A 24,424-nucleotide genomic window follows, 5' to 3' on the forward strand; every position below is an offset into this window, starting at 1 on the left:
GATGAGCTGGATGGGTGGCTATGGTATGGCCCACAGGAGGGGCTCTGAGCTGCCTCTGGTGTTTTCTGCCCCCTCAGGTTACCCCTGGTGAAGTGATGGGGACAGCCTGGCTCTGAGAACCCCTCTTCCTTCCCTGCCCCCTGGGTGACGGGGCATTGGTGACCCTCACCCAGGCAGGCTTGGTAGATGGCCTATTCATTGGGTCCTCATGGTGGGGCATATCCAGACGCTGTATCTAGGTCCAGGCTGCAGAGGCCTTTCCAGGAGGACATCTCTGCAGCTCTTTCCCTCCACCCTGCTTTCCTAGTAGAACACTGTCCCTGCACAGCTGTGCTCCATCTGGCCCAGGTTCCCAGACAATGAGCAGGGATTCTCCCTAGAGCTTCGCAGATGGAAAGTGCTTGAGGGGGTGCTGAATGCCTAGGTAATGGTCTATTTCGTCTCGTTTCAGCTGTGTTGGGGTGGAAGAGGAGGAGGCGCCCGACATCGACATATACCACTGCCCAAACTGTGAGAAAACCCATGGGAAGTCCACCTGTAAGTACCGCAGCCCAAGCGGCCATCTCTTGCGGAAGAGAGCAGCATCCACCCTGCCTGGGCTGCGTGGAGGGTGAGGTCTCTGCTGGGCCTGGGCCCTGGGTTGCTGGGGGCAAAACGCCCTGAGTAGTGTCTAGGCCTGGGGACCCTGCCAGCCTAGCTTACTGTCCCCTGTAGCCTCACTAGGCCCACTGTAGCCCCTCCTGATCAGCTCCCGCTGGCAGAGGCAGCTGTGCAAAGACTCAAAGGGCCTTCTGAGGCCTAGCGAGAGGCCAGGCCAGCCTGAGTTAGGGGGACACGGACTTGGGGACCTGGATAAATGGTGATGCGGGGGTTTTCTAGGGGCCCCCAGCCTAGCCCGGCCCAGCCAGCCACTGCTACACGGGGGGCCCAGCCTGTCTGTTTTCTGGGCACGTGCATTGTTGGTGGGCTCTGTCCTCCCCTCCTTTTCCAGCCCCGCCTCATGCCACCCACCTCTTCCTCTGCAGAGAATCTTGGAGGGCCCTTGCCTTTCCCACACAACCTGCTGTTTGTGTGTCCTAAGGGCTGAGGCTTCGTTTTCTTCTTGGCCCTTTCAGGTGTGCTGGGTCCTGGGATACAGGCTTGGTTCACCCTGTGCAGGTTCAGCCAGGTGAGCTGGAGGTTATATGAGCCTTGAGCTCCAAGCCTCAGCCCTGGTTGCAGAGGGGGAGCTGTGTGGTGGTCTGCAAGGACTCGGGAGGGGTGTGGCCTGTAGACAGGACAGATGGTATGGATATGGGTGTGCGTGTGTTAATGTGGCCTCTGGTTTCCACTTCACTGGAGGGTCTTGGGTGCTCACAGAATCTGCAGGCTGGACATGGGCCCTGGCTGGGTCAGCTGATCACATCTCTGCTGACCTGAGCCCTGGACAAGGTGGGGCAGGAAATGCATCTGGCTCCAGGTCACAGCCAGTCTGAGTCACTCCCCTTCAAAGGGAGACCCCTCCCAGTGCCCAGTTGCAAGCTGAAGCACCAGACCCCCGGACCCCTGTGGGATGAGTCCTATGGAATCAGTAGGGGCAGAGGGAGGATGCGGGCAATAGGTGGAAGGGGCTCCAGCACCCCTGTTCTGTGAGCTGAGGCTGGGTCGAGGGAGCCTTGGAGGCCTGGCCTGGCAGCTGGTGATGCTGGGTCTCACTACTCTGAGGACCTGGCTGCTCTTTCTTGGCCTCTCCCAAGGCCTGAATGCTTTTCTCCTGTCTATTGCTGGACAGCGGTGGGGGCTGCATGTGTTTCAGGTCTCGACCCTATCCCCAGCACAGCCTCAACAAATATGCAAGCGGGTGATGAGGAGAAGCTAGCAGCTAGCAGCTCTTCCTGAACTTTCAGGCTGATAGTTTGCCTGTGGGGAGGTTCTGGGATTCCTAAATTGCCTTCTTACTCCTGGTCCCCAGTAGTTGGCTGCATTTATGCTCAGAATGCATCTGCCTACGGCAAGCTCATTAACCTATCATCTGGTTATTGCTCAAAAACAGATAAAGGGTAGGAAGGTTCAGCCCAGCGGGGCATCCTCATGCTTCTGGCACCTCAATGAGCCCACCCAGAAAGCTCAGGGCCAAGCTGTCTTTACGACAGGAATGACACAAACAGGGCTGAGCTTCCAGTGGGGACCTGGGGCTGCCCCATGGGGCCTAGGGGGCAGGTGTCAGAGCAGAGTAGGGTTGGAGCCAGGATACCCCAGGAGGTGCTTTCCTGGGGGGTAGGACCCTCTCAGGTCCTACCTGAGTTGGGCTTGGGAGGATGCTGGGGTGGCGTTGCTTTTGTGTGGGAGGTACACGTGTGCATCACTTGAGAAGAGGCTTTCAGACTGGTAGAAAAGAAAGTGTCAGAAACCCCTGGGCCAGGGGCCTCTTCTGATAGTCAGCATACATTTCAAGGGGTCCTTGCTTGGGGGCTCTTGCATGAGTTGGGGCTGGGGTAGAGCAATGGTGTGGTGCTGGGGCTGGGCAGGTTTCACATATTGGTGAGCACACTGTTTTGATTTCTCTAATGTCCCCAGACATCCCCAGAAACAGCCCACCTGCCATGGGAGCCCTGTGTGCCTGCCTCACCCAGACCCTGCCCCTGTCCCTGCAGGGAGTTTGGGCAGAGGCCTGGTGTCCCAACCTGCCCTTGATTGCAGCTAAAACCTCAGTGCAGGCTCCCCTTCCTGTCTCCTACGGCCAGCTGCCCAGGGAGAGACATTCTAGACTAGCAGACAGTGCTGAGGTTGCAGATGGTGGGACCCCCAGCCCCTGCCTGGCTGTACACATGTGTGTGTGCATGTACATGTATGCTTACATATTTGTGCATGTGTATGTGTGTGTGCATGTGCTTGTGTGTATGTCATACTCTGTTCAGGCTGCCGTAACAAAATACCACAGACTGGAGGGCTTAAGTAATAGAAAATTTATTTCTTACAGTTCTGGAGGCTGGAAGTCCAAGATCAAGGTGCTGGCTGATTCAGTGTGTGGTGAGGGCCTGCTTCTGGTTCATAGACAGTGCCCTCTTGCCATGTCCTCATATGGTGGAAGGAAGGAGGCAGCTTTCTGGGGTCTCTTTTATAAGGACACTAATCCCATTCAGGAGGACTTTACCCTCATGACCTCATAACCTCCCAAAGGCCCCACCTCATAAAATCATCACCTTAGGGGTCAGGATTTCAACAGATAAATTTTGGTGGGATGGATATTCAGTCCACAGCTGTATGTATGTGTGTGCATGCACACATCTGTGTGCTGAATGTGCTATATAAATTCTCTGAAGCAGATTTTCAGTTGTTACTGAAGTATGTGTGCTCCATCAGGGACAAAGGTACACAGTTCTAGCACCTTCCACCAGTGTGCATGCTCAGATTTGAAGTGAGTGTACACTGTGCCCAGAGGCTATGATGCCCCAGTTGGTCTTTGCATTTACTCCAGGCACGCCTTGCACACCAAGGCACACTGGGGATAAGAGGGCCACTCTGTGTCCCTGGAGAAGCTCTAAGCCAGTGCTGGGAACCTCTGGAGGCCTTGAACCTGCCTCCACCTGTCCTGCTCCTGCCACCCTAGCCTGCGGGTGGGGATGGGGGCTGCTCAGGGTTCCCAGAGCGAGCTGTGCCTGAGGTCTGGTCCTCACAGTTTGTCCCCTCTTTTTGAAAGCCACAGTGGTGGGGATTGCAGGGTCCCTCCCCGTTCCAATATGTCCCTTGAGCTGATTTTGGCCATGGCCTGTGGGCAGGGGCCATAGGCCCACAGGTTTACCTGACTGACACAGATTTGGTACAGGGTGTCCCAAGGTACCTGGCCAGGAACTCGGGAAGGCATCCCCATCTGATGAGGAAGCCACATAGTGGTTAGAAGCGGCCCTGAATTGCAGCTCCTGACTTATACACAGTCAGTTTTCTTGTTGAACTGACTTTCCTCATCCCGCCCTGCCCTGTGGGGTTGGGGTGACTCTGCTCAGCAGTTGTCTCAGTGGGTGTGTTGTCACAGGGGCGCTGTCCTCATGCTCCGCATGTGGCTCTGGGATAGGGCGCCCCATGCTGGTGCAGCAGGAGGGGCAGTAGACCTCCTTGCCCCTCTGTGTACCTTTGCTGGTGACCTTGGCACGGCCCCACGTCTCTGGCCTCAGTTGCTTCATCTGTGAAGTGAGGGCCCCGCCCCACGAGAGAGGAGGTACGCAGGTGTAGCCGGGGGCCCCTGGCCTCAGTGAGCGTCCTTGGACAGGAGTGCAATTGGTGAAATAATGACCATGCAGACAGGTGACGGGGAGGACGCCCCCACCCTGCCAGCAGTGCTGGGCCCCTGCTGGCTCCCCTCCGTGGCACCCTGTCTCTGTGGGCTGCCTCCTTTTCTTTGATCTCCTCAGCCAGCCCTGAGGCCTCTCCCAGCTGCAATGTCACTGCTGCTGCATAACCACGGGGCTGCCTCACGCTCCTGCCTGAGCCGCCGCTGTCCTGGACCTTCATTGCAGCCTCTCCTTGGAGCCCAGCCCACACTCGGTGTTCCTCGCAGGTGGTGACCTAAGGGCAGGCAGGGAGCTCTGCTTGGTGCAGAAAGCTCAGCTCTGGAAGTTTCCTCCCTAGGTCCCACTTGGCTCCCCCATGGAGTAGATATAACTGCCTCCATTTCCACAAGGCCTTCCAAGGCAGGGAAGGCACTTTGTGAACTCTGGAGCCCCTTGCTCCCTTGATATCCACACCTCCCCAGGTAGTAGCAGGCCCAGCAGGAGGGTGATGGTATTCACAGTCACTGAGGCTTAGGATTGTTGGGGGGTCAGGAGGGTCTGGGCTGTCACTGGGGGTGTCTTTTTTCCAACTCCTTTACCCTCTGGGCTGAACATCTCAGCACACACACCTCTAGGGCCGGCCTTGGCCCCCTTCCCATCTCAGCTCTTAAGAAGCAGGGGCTCCCAAGCATCTATCGCTTGGGTAACACCTGCTCCAGCACCCCCAGCCTTGCACGGAGCCAAGATACTCAGTGAGTGCTTGCAAACTGCAACAGGAGGGCAGGTTGGAGCTATCTATGGCCCTGGCATTGCCTGGCTCAGGCTGGCACCAAGAGGGCAGGAGCATGGGCTGAACTGAGCCTTCTCTGTTGATAGTTATGAAGGCAGATGCATCCACCTCTCCTTCCAAGTTGCTCTGAAGCTGAGCAGCCAGTGTGACAAGGATGGGAGACTTCATCTGCTCGCAGACACTCCCCCTGTGCCCACTGTGTGCTGGGCCCAGTACTGGGCATAGGGGACACACAGGGATGAGCCCAGGGTCTGTTAGGAGCACCAAGCCAGCCTGTGAGTGTGTTCTGCCCGTGAACAAGCACCTACCGCACCAGGTGGCTTTGCCCTGAGAAAAGGCCCAGCAGAGTCTGGAGCAGACAGTGTGCATGTGCCAACCTACATCCCACAGCCACCCCACAAGGCCCGTGTGAGCCTTTCTCTAGTAAAGACGAGGCACAGAGCTGTCAAGTAATTTGCCCAAGGTCACACAGCTGGAAGAGGATTGGCCAAAACAGATTTGAACCCTGTTTGTTGCTCATCTGTGCCCGATGCTTCCCTCAGAAGTCCTGGCTTCTGGCCTTGACTCTGTCGGATTTTGCCAAGTTTCCATAATGTCCACTTGAATTGTGGGCAGGGAGATTGAACACAATGCGAAGATTCTTTGCAAATAAAAGGTCCCAGCCCCACCCAGCCCTTCTCCTTCGTGTTGGTAGCAGATCCTGCTCAGAGACAGGCATTGTCACTGGGTGGTCATTAGCTCCCTTTGTCCCCACAACCACCGAGACTCAGGAGGATGACACATGGCCTTCTAAGGCCCCCATCCCCTGCGCCCCCCACCTTGCCTTTGTCTGTGAAGGAAGGGCACAATACGGGCCCTGCCTGGCTCTGCTCTTGAATTCAGTCCCTTCACTGCTCAAGGGTCAGCCTGTGTCAGACTCAGCCAAGCAGCCCCCGAGGAGGGCATCTCCAGGCCCCAGTGGCCTCCCTTACCCCAGCTGCTCTTCTCTGCCTGGTTGAATACAAGGCTGGGAGCTAGGGACTTAGCGGGGTGGAGAGGAAATTGCTTCCCTCCCCTTAGGGACTTGAAGTCCAGTAGAGGTGTGTGTGTGCGCATAGGGCTTGTGGTCCAGTAGGGGTGTGTGCATGTATATGTACATATGTGTGTGCCTGCATTGTTGCATGGGCGCATAGTCCACTAGGAATGTGTGCACATGTGCTCACATGCACATGTAAAAAGTCCAAGGTGTGTGTACCTCGTGCCCCAGGAGAAGGTGTGACCTGGGCAGTGTGAGGAAGTAGGTGGGGTAGACAGGCCCAGGGTTGGCGGTGGTCAGGGGAGGGCTGGAGTGTGGCCAGCACAGAGGAGTGGGGATGTGCACCACCTGGGGAGGTGGGGAGGAGACGGAACAAGATGGTGGGACCTGACCTGCCCCTGTCTGTGGCTGTGGCAGTTGGGGTGATGGAGGTCCCAGTAGGGAAGTGACAGAGTCCAGCTGTGGAAGCCATGGGATGGTGAGGCCAAACCGTGGCTGAGGACCTTTTCAGGAGGTGGCTCTCTGGTGGTCTCTGCAGACTCAGGGCCTGAATGAGGAGGGGTCCTGGGAGACCCCAGCTTCTGGGTCAGGGAATGGAGGACACTGGTGCCATCCATGGTGAGGTGTGGGATGGGAGAGGACACGAGGTCGAGGTAGGGGGTTGACTCCTCCCTATGTGCATGGCAGGGTGGGGGTGTCATCAGTCTTGAGAGGTGAGCATGAGCCCAGCAATGCTGGGAGTTGTTAGTAGGCTGGGTGGGCCAAGGTTCTTAGGGGAAGTTGTGGAGCCCTGCTGGGGCTGCGCTGTGTGACCGACCTTGCTTCCGGTCTCCTCCACAGTAAAGAAGAAGCGGACCTGGCACAAACACGGCCCGGGGCAAGCGCCTGACGTCAAGCCCGTGCAGAATGGCAGCCAGCTCTTCATCAAGGAGCTGCGGAGCCGGACCTTTCCCAGGTGGGCTGGCCTTCCTGTATGCTCCACCACCTGCAGCCAGGGGATGCACACTCTCTCCGTCCCTTGTCCCGCTATCCATTGCTGGGGGCTTCCTTTGCTATCCTTGCTGGAAAGCAGGAAGCAGGAAGCCTGTCTCCTGGAGGCAGCATAGCCTGCACCAGCAACCCAAAGCTCCCTGCAAATGGGCCAACCTCTCCTTCCCTTGGTCAGCACTTCCCTGGGGGTGGGGGACAAGTATTGGTGACCTTTCTCCCGCTGGGTGGAAGGGACCTCTCTCCCAACCTGAGTATGCCCAGCACATGCCAGGTACTCTCCTGAGCCCTTGGCTCCCAGTCCTTCCTCTGCCCACAAGCATGCTCCCATGGCCCAGGCAGGCGTTGTCCTCATGTCTCCTTCTCAGAGACCCCCAGTGCCCACACTCTTTTTCTGCATGAGGGCAGAGGACAGAATTCTTGGCCACAGGAAGGACACAGCCGGGAGCGGCTCCTGGTGAGAAAGGAGCTGTTTAGGGGAGGCACCTCTGAGCTGCCCTGCAGCCGTTCATGAGCTGGAGTCAGTTTCTGTTTGTCACACAGCCTTTATTTCTCCCTCACTTTTGAAGGATAATTCCGCTGGACGCAGAATCCTAAGTTGGTGGGTTTTTTTTCTTTTGACATTTTAAATTCCAACTCCCTTCTTGCATGTGTGATTTCTAATGCAAAATCCAATGGAACTCTTGTTCTGACCCTTCTCTGGGTAAGGTGTTTTTTTCCTGGCTTCTTTATTTTTTCTTTTCTGACCTTTATTGAGATAAAATACAAATAATACAGTTCACCCATTTAAAGTGTGCAGTTCGGTGGATTTTACTGTATTCACAGATATGTGCACATCACTGATTTTGGGACATTTTCATCACCCCCAAAATAAATCCCATAACCTTTATACATCATCCCTGTCTTCTCATCCCCCCTCCCAGCTGTCTTTAGCAACTACTAATCCACTTTCTTGTTTCTGTAGATTTGCTTCATATAAATGGAGTTCTACAACAAGACTGGCCTCTTTCATTTAGCAGAGTGTGTTCAAGGGTCGTCTGTGCTGTGGCATGTGTTAGCACCTCACTCCTTTTTTGAGGCTGAATGATATTTCATCGTATAGATATCCACATAGGTACTCTGTCTATCCATTCATCAGGTGATGGTCATTTGCGTTGTTTCCACTTTTTGTCTACTATGAATAATTGTGCCATAAACATTTTTATACAAGTTTTTATGTGGACATATGCTTTTATTGTTTTAGGAGTGGAATTGCTGGGTCATATGGTAACTCTCTGTTTAACTGTTTGAAGAACTGTCAGACTGTCTTCCAAAGCAGGTTCCCCGTTTTACCTTCCCACCAGCAGGGTATGAGGGTCTCGATTTCTTCACATCCTCACTAGAACTTGTTATTATCTGACTTAACTTGATTCTAGCCATGCGAGTGGGTATGAACTGGTATCTTATTTTTTGATTTTCATTTCTCTAGTGATTAGTGATGTTGAGCATCTTTTCATGAGCTTGTCGATCCTTGTATATCTTCCTTGGAAAAATGACTATTCAGGTCCTTTGCCCATTTTTAATTTTTTTGCTTTTTTTTTTGTTATTGAGTTTAAAAGTTTCATATATAGTACATTCTAGATACAAGCCCCATTACCTGATATATGATTTCAAAATACTCTCTCCTATTCTGTGGGTTGTCTTTTTACTTTCTTGATAGTGCCATTTGAAGTAGAAAAGTTTTTAATTTTGATAAAGTCCAATTAATCTATTTTTTGTTGTGCTTTTGTTGCATATCTGAGAATCCATTGCCAAATCCAAAGTCATGAAGATTTATTGATATATTTTCTTCTAAGAGTTTTGTAGTTTTAGCACATACAGTTTGTTCTTTGATACATTTTGAGCTTATTTTTGTATATGGTGTGAGGTAAGGATTGAACTTCATTTTTTTTGCATGCAGCTCTTCATTTGTCCCAGTACCATTGGTTGAAAAAACTATTCTTTTGCTAGTAAACAGTCTTGGCACCCTTATCAAACTCAATTGGCCATAGATGTGTTTGTTTCTGATATTCAATTCTATTCCACTAATCTATATCTCTGCTTATGCCAGTACCACACAGTCTTAATTACTATAGTAATTTATAGTAAGTTTTGAAATCAGGAAGTATAAGTCTTCCAAGTTTGTTCTTTTCTTTTTTTTGAGACGGAGTCTCACTCTGTCACCCAGGCTGGAGTACAGTAGCACGATCTTGGCTTACTGCAACCTCCACCTCCCGGGTTCAAGTGATTCTTCTGCCTCAGCCTCCTAAGTAGCTGGGACTACAGGCGTGCACTACCACGTCTGGCTAATTTTTTGTAGTTTTAGTAGAGACAGGGTTTCACCATGTTGGCCAGGATGGTCTCAAACTCCTGACCTTGTGATCTGCCCACCTCGGCCTCCCAAAGTGCTGGGATTACAAGCGTGAGCCACCATGCCTGGCCAAGTTTGTTTTTCTTTTTCAAGTTTGTTTTGATCATTCTAGGTCCCTTGTATGTCATTTGAATTTTAAGGTCAGCTTGTCAGTTTTTACAAGGAAGTCAGCTGGGATTTTGAAAGTAATTGCTTTCAATCTGTAGATCACTCTGCAGGTATTTCCATCTTAACAGTGTTAAAACCTCTAAGCTGTGAACATGGTTACTTTTCCATTTATTTTGATCTTTTAAGTTTCTTTCAAGAATTATTTATAGTTTTCAGAGTATAAGTTTTACATTTCCTCTGTTAAATATATTCTGAAGTATTTTATTCTTTTTGGTGCTTTTGTCAATAGAATCGTTTTCTTAATTTTCAGATTGTTCATTGATAGTGTGTAGAAATACAATTGATTTTTATATGTTGATCTTGTATCTTGCAACCCTGCTGAACTAGTTTATTAGTTCTAATAGTTTTTTTTTAGAGGGTTCCTTAGTATTTTATATATACATATGACCATGTCATTTGCAAATTGAGATAGTATGACTTATTCCTTTCCCATCTAGGTGACCTGTATTTATTTTTCTTACCTAATTGCTCTCCCAAGAACCTCCAATATCACCTTGAATAGAAGTGGCAAGGTGAGGGTGGTCAGGGCCCCCCTCAGCACTATCAGCATGCCACACCCAAGGGAGAGCTTCAGTTTCACTAGTCAGAGCTGGATGCAAGAAGGCAGCCCCCACCTCTTGGCATTACTTGCTGCAGACGTAAACTCAGCAACAGGCAGCTGGGGCAGAATGAGAAGTGGAAGTCCTGCTCTCCCAAGAAGAAAGCTCTCTAGCTGGGAGCCGGTGGGGACGAAGCCTGTGTTTTTGGCTGCAGCACTTGGGAGTGGAGTGTCCACCTCTGAGCTCTGAATGTGAATGGAGGGAGCAGTCTTGGTCCAAATATCACAGACTGTTCTTACTGAGTTTTTGGAGATTTTCTTAAATAGATGTTTCTTCATTTGCTGTTTGGTCTTGGGACCATTTCCAGAGGCTCTGAATAATTGTTTTTTAAATAATTTTCAGCATTTCATTGTCATGCTGGAAGTTGACCTCGCTCATCTGCCTTCTTTCAAGATAGTTGCTTGGTCTTTGGTTTTTTTTGCAGTTCAAATATGATATGCCTAGGTGCAGAATTTTTGGCATTTATCCTCCTTTATGTGGTCTAAGCTTTTTGGATCTTTGGTTTCATGTCTGCCATTAATTTTAGAAAATTCTCAGCCATTATTAATTCAAATAAATATTTATTCTACTGCATTTTCTCTTCCTTTTTATATTCTCAATATGCACATTAGGCTGTTTGTAGTTCTTCTTCTACATTTCTTGGATATTCTGCGCCTCCCCTTGACCCCCACCCACATGCTTCTTTGTTCTGCTTGGATTTCAGGTTGGAAGTTTTTATTGATATAACTTCAAGCTTACTGGTTCTTTTCTTGGCCATGTCTAGTCTACTGATGAGCCCATCAAAGGCATCCTTCATTTTTGCTACTTTTATTATTGTTTTTTAATTTCTAGCCTTTCCTTTTGACTCTGTCTTAATTTCCATTTCTCTGTTTACATTACCCATATGTTCTTACATGTTGTCAGCTTTTCCCATTAGTGTAGCTAACATACTAATCCTAGTTATTTTAAATTTCCTGTCTGATAATTCGGAAATCTGTGCTATGTCTGAGTCTTCTTCGGATGCTTGCTTTGTCTCTTCAGACTACAGTTTTTCTTGCCATTTAGCAGGCTTAAAATTTCTTGTGAAAGCTGGACACGATGTATTGTGTAATAGGAATTGAGGTAATTAGGATTTAGTGTGAGGTTTTATGTTAATCTGAGTAGGACCTGGGCTGTGTTAAATTTGCTATAGCTCTAGGTGCCAGAGATGTCAGCTTCTTCTAGTTTGTTTGTTTGTTTTTCTCCTGGTTTCTTTGGGTTTTCCTAAGAATTTCATGTTAAACAGAGTCTGTGTCTGCAGCTCTCTCAGTTATAGTCAGCTATTATTATACTGATGTATGGTGGTAGGTTTTGGGGAGGGGAAGTGTTCTATAATTTCAGGATTAAATCTCAGTTTTGTAGAGTCTCTGGGCTGTGATCATTAGGAGCATTTCTCAGCCTTTTTAATTTTTCTCTCCTTATCTGAGACAGGAAGGTTAGTGGGGGCTGGAGGTCGCCAAATGCTTTCCCCATGTCCAGTAGAGTCTGATACAGGGGAGCAGACTTTTGTTATGGAGAACAACACTCTGGATGTATTTAAAAATAGATTCTATTTCCATCCTTCTGCCGGATTAAGGAGTTTTTAACTCTTAAACTGATCTACACTTAACTTTTGGCAGTTTGACAAAAGTTATCACTTAAGTGTTCCTACAGGTCACTGCCTCCAGCAGCTTCCGCTTCAGGTAAGGCGATCTCAGCTATGATTTTCTGTCTCCTCAGATTTTGGGTGGTTGGTTGTTTGCCCTATGAGCTCAATTCTCTGATGAATATAAGAAAAGTTGTTGATTTTCTGTTTGTTCAGCCTTTTTCTTGTGGGGAAGAGGGGAGTGACAACATCCAAACTCTTCACATGTTGGAGCTGAAACCAGAAGAACAATTCCACATTATTTTAGCCACCTTAAATTCATTGGGTTATCTGTTGTTTTATTTTTGAGTTGTAAGAATTCTTTACATATTCTAGATACTTGTCCTTACCAGACACTTTCTGCCATTCTGTGTTGTCTTTGTAGTTTCTTGACAGCGTCATTTGAAGCACAAAAGTTTTTAATTTTAGTGAAGTCTAACTTACCTCTTTTTTCCTTTTATTGCTTGTGCTTTTGGTATCACTGCTGATAAATCATTGCCTAATCCAAGATCTTGAAGATTTATGCCTTTGTTTTCTTCTGTGAGTTTCATAGTTTAAGCTTTTATATTTAGGTCTTTGACTCATTTTGATTGAATTTTTGTATACTATCTGAGGTAGGAAGAACTTTATTCTTTTGCATATGGATATCAACTTTTCCTAGCAACATTTATTGAAAAGACTGGCCTCTCCCCATTGAACTGTTTTGGCACTCTCCTTGAAAAGCAGTTGATTGTGGGTGTTAAGGATTTATTTCTGGGCACTTAAGTGTATTCCATTCCTCTGTATATCTTTTCTTATGACAGTACCACCGTCTTGACTGTAGGAGCTTCGTATTGAATTTTGAGGTTGGGAAGGGTCTTCCAGCATTGTTCTTTTAAAAGACTGTTTTGGTCATCTGAGTGCTTTGCATTTTTATTCAGCATTCCAAGTTTAGTTTGTCAATTTCTGCAAAGAAGTCAGCTGGGATTTTGATAGGGATTATGTGGAATCTGTAGATTAGTTTTCCATTGTTTCTTGAATCCCACACCTTTCTTCTAAGTTTGATTTCCTTCTTATAGAATTATATCTTTTAGTTATTTCAGCAAAGGCTTATGAAAATACATACTGTCTTGTCTGACAATGACTGTCTTTATTCTTACATGATTCTAATATTCTAAAATGGATCTAAAGTTCTAGAGTGAAAGCTGTTTTTCTTTAATTCTTTGAAAGGTATTTTATTGTCTTTTGACATCTCTTGCTAATGAGATATCTGTTGTTAGTCTAGTTGCTGTTTCTTTATATTGTTTGATGTACTCAGTACATGAGTGTACGATATTGCCTCTAGATGTACATTTGTTTTTGTTTATTCTGCTTAGAACCCAGTAAGCCTCTTTAATTTGGAGAGTCACATGTCAATTCTGAAAAATACTCTGTTTTCTCTTTTAGTAGCATTTCTTCTGTATTCTCTGTATCATTTAAAAATTTTTCTTCAAATTTACTATTTTTTCAGCCATCTACTGTTTAGTGCATCCATTGAGTTTAAAAAATTTTGATCATTGTATTTTTTATTTCTAAAATTTCTATAAATTTCCTTTTCAATATTGCCTGGTCTTTTTTCTTTTTTAATACATCCCTGTGCCTTGCCGCATCCTCTTGATTTCCTTCTGAATGTGTTGAGTATATTTATTTTCAAATCTCTTTTCGGTTGTTCTATTATCCTCAGTTCTGGTGATCTCTTTTGACTGGTGTGTCTATTGACTGACCCTCTTGGTGGTTCACCTCCTTCTGTGGGGCATGGTGCTTCAGAGGGGTCACATTCCATTGGGACTAGTATGTCCTTGGCTGCTGTCCACCTACAAGACGGTTTGTGTTTGCCTTTTGCTAAGGTTTTATGGTTTTCACAAGATTAGTTCCAGATCCAGTTTGGGGTTCCCAACCGATGGGTTTAGTGCAAGTTTGGAACTCTCACTGCTAGGACGTTGGCATTGGGATTCATCAAGGACAATTTTCTGCCTGTGGCCCAGGTGGATGGGAGGCCTTCCCTGTTGCTTTCAGAGCTTCCTTTGCATGGTCTGTATGCCTCGAGCTTCCCACACGGTTGCCTGTACACATTCTTTCTTCTTCCTCACCGTCTAGTCCCCCCTGGTTTATCCTTAACGCTATTCCCATGTGATCAAAGCCAGTGGACATTCTTCAGTTCTAATCTTAACTGCCCTCTTGGCAAAATTAGGCATTGCAGCCCTCTAGTTCCTTGAAGTCTTGTCCTTTGTTGGGGATGGATTTCCTCCCACCTGCCTGCTTCCTGTCCTGTTAACTGCTCTCCTTGAGGCTTTTCTGGGGACTCAGCTCCACAACTTCTTTAGCTCTTCTGAGCTTGTGGCCTGTCTATCCAACTGGCACATCCCTGGAGAATCTGACAGGTATCTTAGACCACATGTGTCCCCAGATCAGATCTGTCCCTGTCCCCAGCTCCTGCCCCTCCACCGTGGGCCCTCTGTAAATGGCCCCGCCTCTGCCCCCACCACTCACAACAGTCTCCTGGCCGTCCATATTTGCCTCTTCCTGTTCCCTCCCACTTTCTCAGCTATCACCAGACTTACTGATCTCCTGAACCCCCTTGGCCCTTTCCCTGCCCCCTAGTCCAGGCATGGTGCCCTGAGCCTCCTGATGCTCTCTGTGCCCCCACTCTGCCCTGCTGCAGGCCACTGTCCGCACAGCAATGGACAACCCGCAGACTACACCACTGCCCTGCTTAGAATTCCAGAGGCTCGGCTGGGCGCGGTGGCTCACGCCTGTAATCCCAGCACTTTGGAAGGCCGAGGTGGGTGGATCACCTGAGGTCAGGAGTTCGAGACCAGCCTGACCAACATGGTGAAACCCCATCTCTACTAAAAGTACAAAATTAGCCAGGCATGGTGGCACATGCCTGTAATCCCAGCTACTCAGGAGGCTGAGGCAGGAGAATTGCTTAAAACCTGGGAGGCAGAGGTTGCGGTGAGCCAAGATCACGCCATTGCACTCCAGGCTGGGCAACAAGAGAGAAACTCCATCTCAAAAAAAAAAAAAAAAAATTCCAGCAGCTCCCAGTGCTGCTGGTGTGCAAAGAATTCTGGCGGCTCCCAGTGCTTCTGGTGTGCAGCGGGAGCCCTCCAGCTGCGGCTCCTGTCATTCTCACACCTGCCACTGTCTGTCCGCGTCAGAGGCCTTGGGTGGTGCACTCCTCCCCTCGGCCCTGTCTTGCAGGGTGCTCTTTCCCCTGTTCCCTGCTGTCCTCCTCCCCAGCGCTGCTCACAACTGTGCCCATCCCATAGAAGCATGTCCCCAGGGTCACCAAACAGAGGCTGTTCTAGCGGGCCCTGTGGACCACAGCTGCCCAGGGGCCTCTCAAGGAGCAGGAGGCAGCCTGGGGCATGGGCTGGGGCTGAGGGCTCTGGGTCCAGCTGTATGGCCTTGGGCAGACCACACTTCCCCTGGGCCTCATGTCCCTGGGAGGATTCCTAGGGTGTGTAAATGCTCTGCCAAGGTCATTTTTCCCCTTTGCCTGTGGGCCCCTCTCGTCTGCCTCTGGCCCTGTGGTGGTGGCCATGTCTAGTAGGGAGCAGGCCAGGACAGGATGCTCTTGTCCGGGTCCTTGGGTTGTCACCGCACATGCCATTCATCCTTGCCAGCCAGGGGCCTCCTCCTGGCCCTGCCCCTCTGCTGCTTCCTCTGGGCAGGAATGTGGGGACAGGCTAGGCAGGGCGAGAGAGAGACAGAAGGAGACCTGGTTTTCACCCCTGTCCTCTCCACATGGCTTTGTCCAAGGTCTTCCCAATATCAGAGCCATCTTAGTGGCTCTTGTTCCTGAGCTGTGATTCGGTGGCCCTGCCATGGGGAGGCACCTAGCCGAGAAGGGGTACAAGGGAGGTGCAGTGGAGGAGCTGCCCCCGTCCTCACCTATGGGTCAGCCCGGGTGCCGGTGGTTGGGGAGCGACCTTGCTCAGGCCCAGGCGCCTCCTGCCTCTCTGTCTTGTTGGGAAGGACAGGCCCTTGTCACCTCTTGACATTTCCATGTGACACGTGAGACCCCATGTCCCTGCTCCCCCAAACAGTGGGGTTCTGGAGTCAGCACGGCATCTGCCCTGGCTGCTCTATCGTCCCATTTGTGGCACCACGGCCAGGCCTCCTCCTGTGGCTGTGGGAGGTGGGTGGCCAGACCCAGGCTCACCTCTCCAGCACCGAGGCCCTGTCCACACCTGTCCCGGTGCAGGAGGCCTCGGGCCCAATGTGGCCTCTGACCTGTGCTTCCCTGCAGTGCTGAAGACGTGGTGGCCCGTGTGCCAGGAAGTCAGCTCACGCTGGGCTACATGGAGGAGCACGGCTTCACCGAGCCCATCCTCGTCCCTAAGAAAGACGGGCTGGGTCTGGCTGTCCCGGCCCCCACGTTCTATGTCAGTGACGTCGAGAACTACGTGGGTAAGCGCCATCCCCTTCACAGTGCTCTGGGGCTGGAGCTGGGAGTGCTGGGACACCCACCACTGTGCATGCTGTTTCCCCACGCCCTGGCTGTGTCCATGTGTGCCGTGAGCAGTGGAGCCTCAAGGCTCACCGTACTCTGTTCCCGGTGCTCTTAGTTCAGACCCTGCGTCCCACTGAGATGACATATGACCTGGCAGGTCCCTTGCCCTCCCAGATACTCTGACTGCAAAGTAGGGGCTGGTCTGGGAGACCCTTTGATTCTGGCAGCTATGAATTGCATTACTGTGGGTGCTACATGACACTGCCATGCCTGGGAGGCCCTGGTGGTGCGGGCCCATGTTCCCATCCTGGCTGCCTGATTAGGGGCCTGGCCTTCCTCATCTGTACCATGACCTGCCCCCACGGCACCAGAATCTCCTCGTCTGGATTCCGTCTGGGTTCTAGCCAGTGCCATTGCCATCAGCAGTGCCCATTTCATGTCCCCTTGCAGCTCCAGAGCTACTGGGGTTAGGTGGGCACTTGTGGGTAGAGGAAGCACCTGTGGGGGTGCCGTTCAAGAGGCAGTGGCAGGGAGAGGCCAGCACACCTAGCAGTGACCCTGACAGGCCAGTGGCCACATGGCCAAGCATGGAGGCCCACATGGTTGCAGGGCTTCAAGGTGCTCATGGGGGATGCCTGGGTGGCTGGCACGAGGAGGAAAAACCCTGAACGGGCAAACCCCCAGGACAGAAGGTGGGCAGGCAGGCACACTGGCCTCTCAGTGCTGGGGCTTCCGAGACGACTGGCCCCACCACTCTGAGGCTCACTCTCTTCCTCTGTGCACCCTTCATGGGGTGTGTGCTGGAGGTGAAATGAAGTCACCTGTACAAGCCTCTGGGCACATAGGGGCACCCACCAGGAGGCCATCAAGTTCAATTTCAGCAGGGGGCTGGGGCCACAGCTTTTCTCGGGAGCCACATGGCCACCCTGGGGCTACCGAGACTGGGCTCCCAAACTCGTCATGAAGAGGAAGAGCGAGCACCCTGGTAGCTGTCAGACATCTCGGAAGAGGGGCTAGAAAGTGCTTGTCCCGGGACCTGGGGTGAGGGTGTTGGGTGTCCATGCACAGGGGCTGATTCTGTGGGGTTCTTACTGAGGAGGAGGGCAGGCTGGACATAGTTGGAGCTGTGGCACTAGCTCTGTGGCTGATCCTGCCCTGAGCCGGGATCCAGCCCCTGGTCTCGCCTGTGCTCGGCTTTACCGCAGGTTTGCCTGAGAGGGGGCCATGGCCATCAGGTGGGCTGTTTCTGTCTTGCTGCACAATGCTGGTCAGGCAGCCTTGTGTACCCCAGCTGTAATGTTCATGCTTGCCAGGCCAGTGCTCTTTCTCACCTTCCCAGACCCTGGCATGGTGCACACAGGATAACAGCTAATATATAGTGAGGGCCTGCCTAGTGCCAGGCATTTTTCTAAGCTCTTCCCACGTAGGAGCTAATTTCCTCCCTTCCACAGCTCTGAGAGCTGGGTCCTGCCCTGCCACCAAGGCCCTGGGCTCACCTAATCATGCGGGTGGGGCCTGGTTTTTCCCCTGGCCGTGTTCCCTCCACAGCTGTCCCTGCAGAAGCAGGGAGGAGATGGTTCGTCGTTTGTGTTGCTTCTATGTCTTTCTTTTTCCTCTTAATTTTTTTTTATGATGGAACTTTTTAAATACACACAAAATTAGAGAAACAGTAAGCCCTCATGCACTCAGCACCAGAAACAAAAGCCACCAGCTTTCAGCCAGTTTTCCGTTTCCCCACTTTTTTGTTCTCTTTGTAGTATTTTAAAAGGAATTCTGATCAGGCATGGTAGCTCACGCCTGTAATCCCAGCACTTTAGGAGGCTGAGGTGGGTGGATTTCTTGAGGCCAGGAGTTCGAGACCAGCCTGGCCAACATGGCAAAACCCCGTCTCTACTAAAAATACAGAAATTAGCCAGGTGTGGTGGTGGCACCTGTAGTCCCAGCTCCTCGGGAGGCTGAGGCAGAAGAATCACCTGAATCCAGGAGGTGGAGGTTGCAGTGAGCCAAGATCGTGCCACTGCACTCCAGCCTGGGCAAAAGAATGAGATTTCATCTCAAAAAAAAAAAATTCTTTTTATATACATCATTTTACCCATAAAAATTCTAGTACATAGCTCTAGCAGACAATTTAAAAAATATATAATCACAGTTCTATCATCGCACTCGATAATATTAACAGTAATTCCTTGGTGGCACGTAAGACCCAGTTTAATTCTTCCCAGTTGCCTCAAAAGTGCCTTTTTACATTTGGCTGTGGAATCCAAATTAGACCCCCACATTGCATTTTTTTATATCCCTGAAGTCTCTTTTCTTCTGACAGCCCCATTTCATTCTATCCTGTTGGTTTGTTGGAGAGAAGGCCATGTTGGTCCTGCAGAATGTCCCACATCCAGGATTTGGTTGCCAGCGTCCCAGTGGTGTTGCTGAGCAGGTCTCTCTGTCCCGGGTGTTTCCTATAAACTCGTGGTTAGAGGCTTGCTTGACTTGCCTTCAAGTTTTTGGTGGGACTCCCTCTGGGTGGGAGTGCTTTCATCTGTGGGGAGGCCTGTTGTGCCTGGCCACACTCTTGCAGTGATGCAGACAAGGCCAGTGGCCCCGGCATCCACCTCATCTGTCCACACTAAACCCCATGGCCTTGCAGTTTGTGGTCAGAGCAGCCATGGAGAACTATTGCAAAGGGCGACTGGCAATTCTGTCCTCCTCCCTCTATCAGTCATGAGTCTTTTATAAAGAAATTTTCCTCCTCAGCTCATCTGGTTATCCTGAACTTTTCTTTGTCAACTACAGAAAAGGCTTTTCCCTTTATCAGTCTGCCAATTCTCAGAGTAATGAATTGGTACCCTAGAAATGCAGGGGTTTTGATAGCTTAATTTTTAAAATGTAGGTATGTCTCATGAATTACTTGGAACATAACACTAAAATGTATTTGCTGTTCATCTGAAATTCAGGCAGGCCAGGCATCCTGTGTTTTTATTTGCTAATCTGGCCACCGTCGCTGAGGCCTGTGACCTGGCCGCCTCACAGCATCACCAGGTCAGAGGAGTGGTCAGAGTTGAGCCAGGGGAAAAGCAGGCAGGTGAAGCTCGACGTTGGCACCTAGAGCCTCCGCATCCAGCCCCTGGCAGCTCCTGCTGTGTGTGAGGGCAGCCAAGAGTGTGTGTCCACTCCACACGTCCTGGCCTCAGGGAGGCTGTGCCGCCTTCCCAGGGTGCTCAAGCTCCTCCCACCACCTCCCTAGGGCCGGAACGGAGTGTGGATGTGACAGATGTCACCAAGCAGAAGGACTGCAAGATGAAGCTGAAGGAGTTTGTGGACTATTACTACAGCACCAACCGCAAGCGGGTCCTCAACGTCACCAACCTCGAGTTCTCTGACACCCGGTGAGTGCTACCACCCTGGGGGTGTGGGGGCTGGGGTTGGGGCAGGGGCGCTGTGCCGTCCTTGGTAGTCGCCTGAGAAGCACAGGTCGAAGGTATCAGAGTCTGGAATACTGCACATGGCACACACTGATTTTTACTGTTTCTCTCTTTTAAATTTTTTCCTTTTTTTTTTTTTTTTTTTTTTTTATAAGACTGGCCCACAGCTGACTGTTTCTCTTTTAAAGTATGAAGGTGACGTATTGAGAACAATTCAAACAAAAATAAGGAGCAAAAAGGCAAAGCCTCCTCTGGTCTTGGCCCTGCCCATCCCACTCCTCAGAGAGAACCATTGGTAACAATGTGTAGTTTTTTCCAGAATGCACACACTCATGACACACTCAGACACATCTATGACACACCCACTTCCGGACACACAACATTCACGCTTACTCATGGACACACCAACACTCATGACACCCACTCGTGGACACACTCATGACACTCACACTGACTCATGGACACTCCAATGCATGAGACATTCATGACACTCTGACCCTCACATTCGCTCATGGACATACCCATGACATGCTCACCCATAGATATGTCACACACCTGCAGTCATGACACACTCATACCTACTCACAGACACCAACGTGTGGTGCAGTCACACTCATGGACACACTTGTCAACACACTCGTGACACAACACACCAACACTCATAGACATACTCATGACACATTCATAGACATGACACACTAGTGGACACATGGACACACATGACACACACTCAGTACTCACCAACACGTGGTACACTCACACTCACGGACACACTCGCCAACACACGACACATTCACAACACACCGACACTCACCCATGGACGTACTCATGACACATTCATAGACACGACACACTAGCAGACACATGGACACACACTTAGCACTCACCAACACGGTACACTCACACATGGACACACTCGCCAACACACCTGTGACACGTTCACAACACACCGACACACTCACATGACATAGACATGCGATACACCCACGGGCATTCATGGACACACTTGTGGGCACACTCATACACAGACACTGACACACTCAAACACAACAATAGACTCATGACACGCTTATGACACACACACATCCCTGACACACTGAGATACTAACTCACTGGCACACTCATACTCCTAACACCCGCATCCCTGGCACAGTTACTAACACCTGCACACACCCGTGTAGACGCCTACACTCACACACATGAGATCCTGCAGGGGCGGCTGCTGTGACCTGCCTCCCTGCTTTCCAGGCAAGGCAGGCCCCACACAGATACACCTTGGTTGGCCCGGTCCCCCTGAGTTCCTGGCACTAGTTGTCGTCAGCCCTGCGGTCACTGGGTGGGGCATCCTCTGTCAGGGCTGACCTACACCAGCCTGGCTTCCTGGTGGCAGAGATGCTGGCCCTGCACTTTGTGGCTCTGACCTTGTTCTCCCCCCAGGCTGTCAGCTCGGGTGTGGTCAGTGCCTGCCCTGGATCCACCCCTCACCCCCGCTCCATCACATCACCTCTGCCCTCCAGCTGGCCCCTGGGAAAGATCCAGAACACTCACTCACCGTAAGGCGCGGGTGGCTAAGGATGGCTTTAGTCTTCATCGTTTCCGTCATGCCTACTTCCTGAAAGCACATAACACGTGCAAAGGGGCAGGTAGGGAGAAACAAAAGAATTATCTAAAACCAAGAAAGAGAATACAAAACTATGCCAAGAGCCACAAAAAGGTAATATGGTTGTGCATGGTGGCTCATGCCTGTAATCCCAAGACTTTGGGAGGCTGAGGCAGGAGGATCACTTGAGGCCAAGAGTTTGCAACCAGCCTGGGCAACAAAGCAGGATCCTGTCTTTATTTTAAAAATTAAAAAAAAAAAAAAAAAGGTAATGGGCATTCATTTTGGTTGAGCTTCCTAACAGCAAAGACTAAAAGGGAAATGGAGTGGGTTATGGTACCAGAGAAAGTGGTATGTATTGCTTTGGTACCAAACAACATAACTGAGTCATGTCTCCATCAGCTTAATTTACTGCCCTGCCTGGGTTGAGGGGTTCTCACAGAGAGATGTCTAGGCTATGGAGCTAGGGAGAGATGGTACTTTGGCCTGTGGTTTTCTGTTGGGCCTTTCAGGGCCACCCCTTTGCCTCCTGTTTCCACTGGCCCAGTCCGTGGATCATTAGGGGGTTGTTTGCAACTTTTGTTGGGCACTTACCTACCAGAGCCTTCACATGGGCTTGGGTCGGGTCCATGGAGTGGGCTCTGCTTCATCATTAAGTCTGTCCCCAAGGATGTTGGCCAAGCAGGTAAGGTCAGGCCTGACACCATGGGCTGTCTGGGGTAGCTCTTGGGGCCTGCTGCCTCAGGGGGGCCCACAGTGACCAATGTACCCCCAGACCGGAGAGATGCCTGCTCTGTGGCAGGTCTAGGGTGATGTTCCCACTGCTGGTAATTCAGATACATGTCACATCTGGTCTCTTGCTCATGGTGGCCTTGCGTGTCCATGGGGGCTTTGAGGACCTCCTCCCGCCAACTCAGAGAAAGGTGTGGCTTGCACCTAAACAGGCCAAGCAAGGGAAAGAAGGACGTTTGAGGGTGTGGTGGGAGGCAGGGACAGCCTGGCCCCCTGTGGTGTGTGGTGTTTGAAGGACATGGCTGGAGATGGGTCATGAGGGCCCTTGTGGCAGGGAACCCTCTCCTGTGGGCCGTGATGTGCCCAGACTGCTGAGGTTTCAGAGGTTGGCAGTGGGTATGAATGGGGGCAATGAGGACTCCTGGAGGATGGAGAAGGGTGCTAGTTTGGAACGTGCTGGAGATTTAAAGGTGAGGTCTGTGACTGAGGCTAGTGGGATTGGGGCGGCAGGACTCTGCTTGTGATTTGTGACAGTCTTGTCCGGGGACAACTTGTCTAGGTTGCTGTGGCCTTCGAGTAGAGACAACAGCACTTGCAGATGGGATGACAGAGACATGACAGACCCTGTCTTCCTGGAGGCAGCAAGAACCCCCAGATCTGGTTCTTAGTGGCAGCTGAAATGTCACTGCACGGGTGCTGTTGAGCTTGACTTTTTTTTTTTTTTTTTTTTTGGAGATGGAGTCTCACTCTGTTGCCCAGGCTGGAGGGCAGTGGGGTGATTTTGGCTCACTGTAACCTCTGCCTCCTGGGTTCAAGTGATTCTCCTGCCTCAGTCTCCCAAGTAGCTGGGATTACAGGCATGCCACCATGCCCAGCTAGTTTTTATGTTTTTAGTAGAGACAGTGTTTCACCATGTTGGCCAGGCTGGTTTCAAACACCTGAGTTCGTGGTCCGCCCACCTCGGCCTCCCAAAGTGCTGAGATTACAGATGTGAGCCACCATGCCCAGCCTAGTTTGACATTTTTGATGAAATTTAACACGTTTTATCCAGGACAGTGACATGTCATTGAATTGAAGGCTGCCTCTGCATCTCCCTATCTTCCCTGGATATGAGTTGGCTGGATTTGACAGTGACTTGACGTGGCCAGGGGTCGTGGGCACCCTGTTGTCAGCTCTGGAGAGCAGTGGCTGTTATCCAGGTGACGCCAGAGGTGCCGGGCTGAGTGTGAGAAATGATATCTACGCTTCAGCCCAGTGTGCCACAGCACATGGCACGTGGCCAGTCTGGAAAGACTCGCTTTCCAGTTCCCAGGAAAGGAGGTTCCCTCTCAGGGGTAGATGGTTTTGGGGCCTTCTCATTATCTTCTGGGGGTGGAGGCCAGCGTCAGACCCAGTCTCCTGCCAGGGCCACAGCCAGCGCCTGGGCTCATTCCGTCCTCTGTGATCCTGTTTGCTCCTCTGTGAAATGGGAGCTGTGACCCGTGGCCCGCAGGTGGTGAGAGAGCGTGGGACATGCCTCACAGAACATGTTTCCCACTGCAGGGGAAATAAAAAAGGGAGTCCCAGGTTCCCTCACCACCTTCCTCTCCCACCCCTAGAATGTCCAGCTTCGTGGAGCCACCTGACATTGTAAAGAAACTGTCATGGGTAGAAAACTACTGGCCAGATGATGCATTGCTGGCCAAGCCCAAAGTGACCAAGTACTGCCTAATCTGCGTGAAGGACAGTTACACCGACTTCCACATCGACTCTGGGGGCGCCTCTGCCTGGTACCACGTGCTCAAGGTGAGCCACGCCCCTCGGGGCACCTCTGCCTTGCCATGGCCATGACCCATCTGCAGGATTGTCTGCAGTCCCCACAAGCCCTGATTGGCCAGGATGCGACTCCCCAGAGGGCCCCTGGACTGTCCATCCCTGGGACAGGAGGCCTCTGGAGACATCTCTGGGTGGAGGGGCAGGGGTGCATGTGGGACCAGAGAACCGCATGAGTGTCTCCTTGTTCTGATGGGATTCAGGCTCGTTAACAATTGGGTGAGACCACCAGGTGACCATGCACTTAGAGGAGAAAGGGGAATGTTGCAAAAACATCCTGGAAGAGGGGCCAGCCATAGCCAGGGCCCCGCACAGGAGCCAGGGGGCAGGAGAGGGGCATCTGAGTGGGCAGGGAAGGCTAGGAGCCTCATCATCGAGGCTGAGAGAGGGAAGCCAGAAGAAAAATGAGACGTAAATAGCAACAGAAACAAAGGAAACCCTAAGCTGTGGGCTCCCCCAGCTGCTAACTGAGCTTCTTCAGACCAGCTGGACCTGGATCTGGGGGCGGGCAGGTGCACATGCTGATCCCACCTCTGGGAGGCCTTGAGCA

The 24,424-nt window shown here is 50.9% G+C and overlaps 1 protein-coding gene across 5 annotated transcripts in view, besides 2 other annotated features; it reads left to right on the plus strand.

Moving 5' to 3' along the window:
• Positions 1–24,424, plus strand: part of PHF2 (PHD finger protein 2) — a 103,004-nt gene that overhangs the window by 52,935 nt on the left and 25,645 nt on the right. For all 5 annotated transcript variants that reach the window (XM_005252051.3, NM_005392.4, XM_006717143.3 and 2 more), the window contains exons 2-6: positions 452–537; positions 6,893–7,007; positions 16,111–16,271; positions 19,553–19,694; positions 23,661–23,847. In XM_005252051.3, the coding sequence (XP_005252108.1) occupies positions 452–537; positions 6,893–7,007; positions 16,111–16,271; positions 19,553–19,694; positions 23,661–23,847 (691 nt within the window). The remainder of the gene's footprint in view (positions 1–451; positions 538–6,892; positions 7,008–16,110; positions 16,272–19,552; positions 19,695–23,660; positions 23,848–24,424) is intronic.
• Positions 5,950–6,679: an enhancer, noted in NCBI's record as "H3K4me1 hESC enhancer chr9:96397750-96398479 (GRCh37/hg19 assembly coordinates)". NCBI's record gives its function as "activates a minimal SCP1, AML or CMV promoter by ChIP-STARR-seq in primed H9 embryonic stem cells {active_cell/tissue: H9 hESC(primed)}" and the evidence as "EXISTENCE:reporter gene assay evidence [ECO:0000049][PMID:30033119]".
• Positions 13,963–14,803: an enhancer, noted in NCBI's record as "H3K4me1 hESC enhancer chr9:96405763-96406603 (GRCh37/hg19 assembly coordinates)". NCBI's record gives its function as "activates a minimal SCP1, AML or CMV promoter by ChIP-STARR-seq in naive and primed H9 embryonic stem cells {active_cell/tissue: H9 hESC(naive and primed)}" and the evidence as "EXISTENCE:reporter gene assay evidence [ECO:0000049][PMID:30033119]".

This window comes from Homo sapiens, chromosome 9 (genome assembly GCF_000001405.40).
Source record: "Homo sapiens chromosome 9, GRCh38.p14 Primary Assembly".
Classification (NCBI taxonomy): domain Eukaryota; kingdom Metazoa; phylum Chordata; class Mammalia; order Primates; family Hominidae; genus Homo; species Homo sapiens.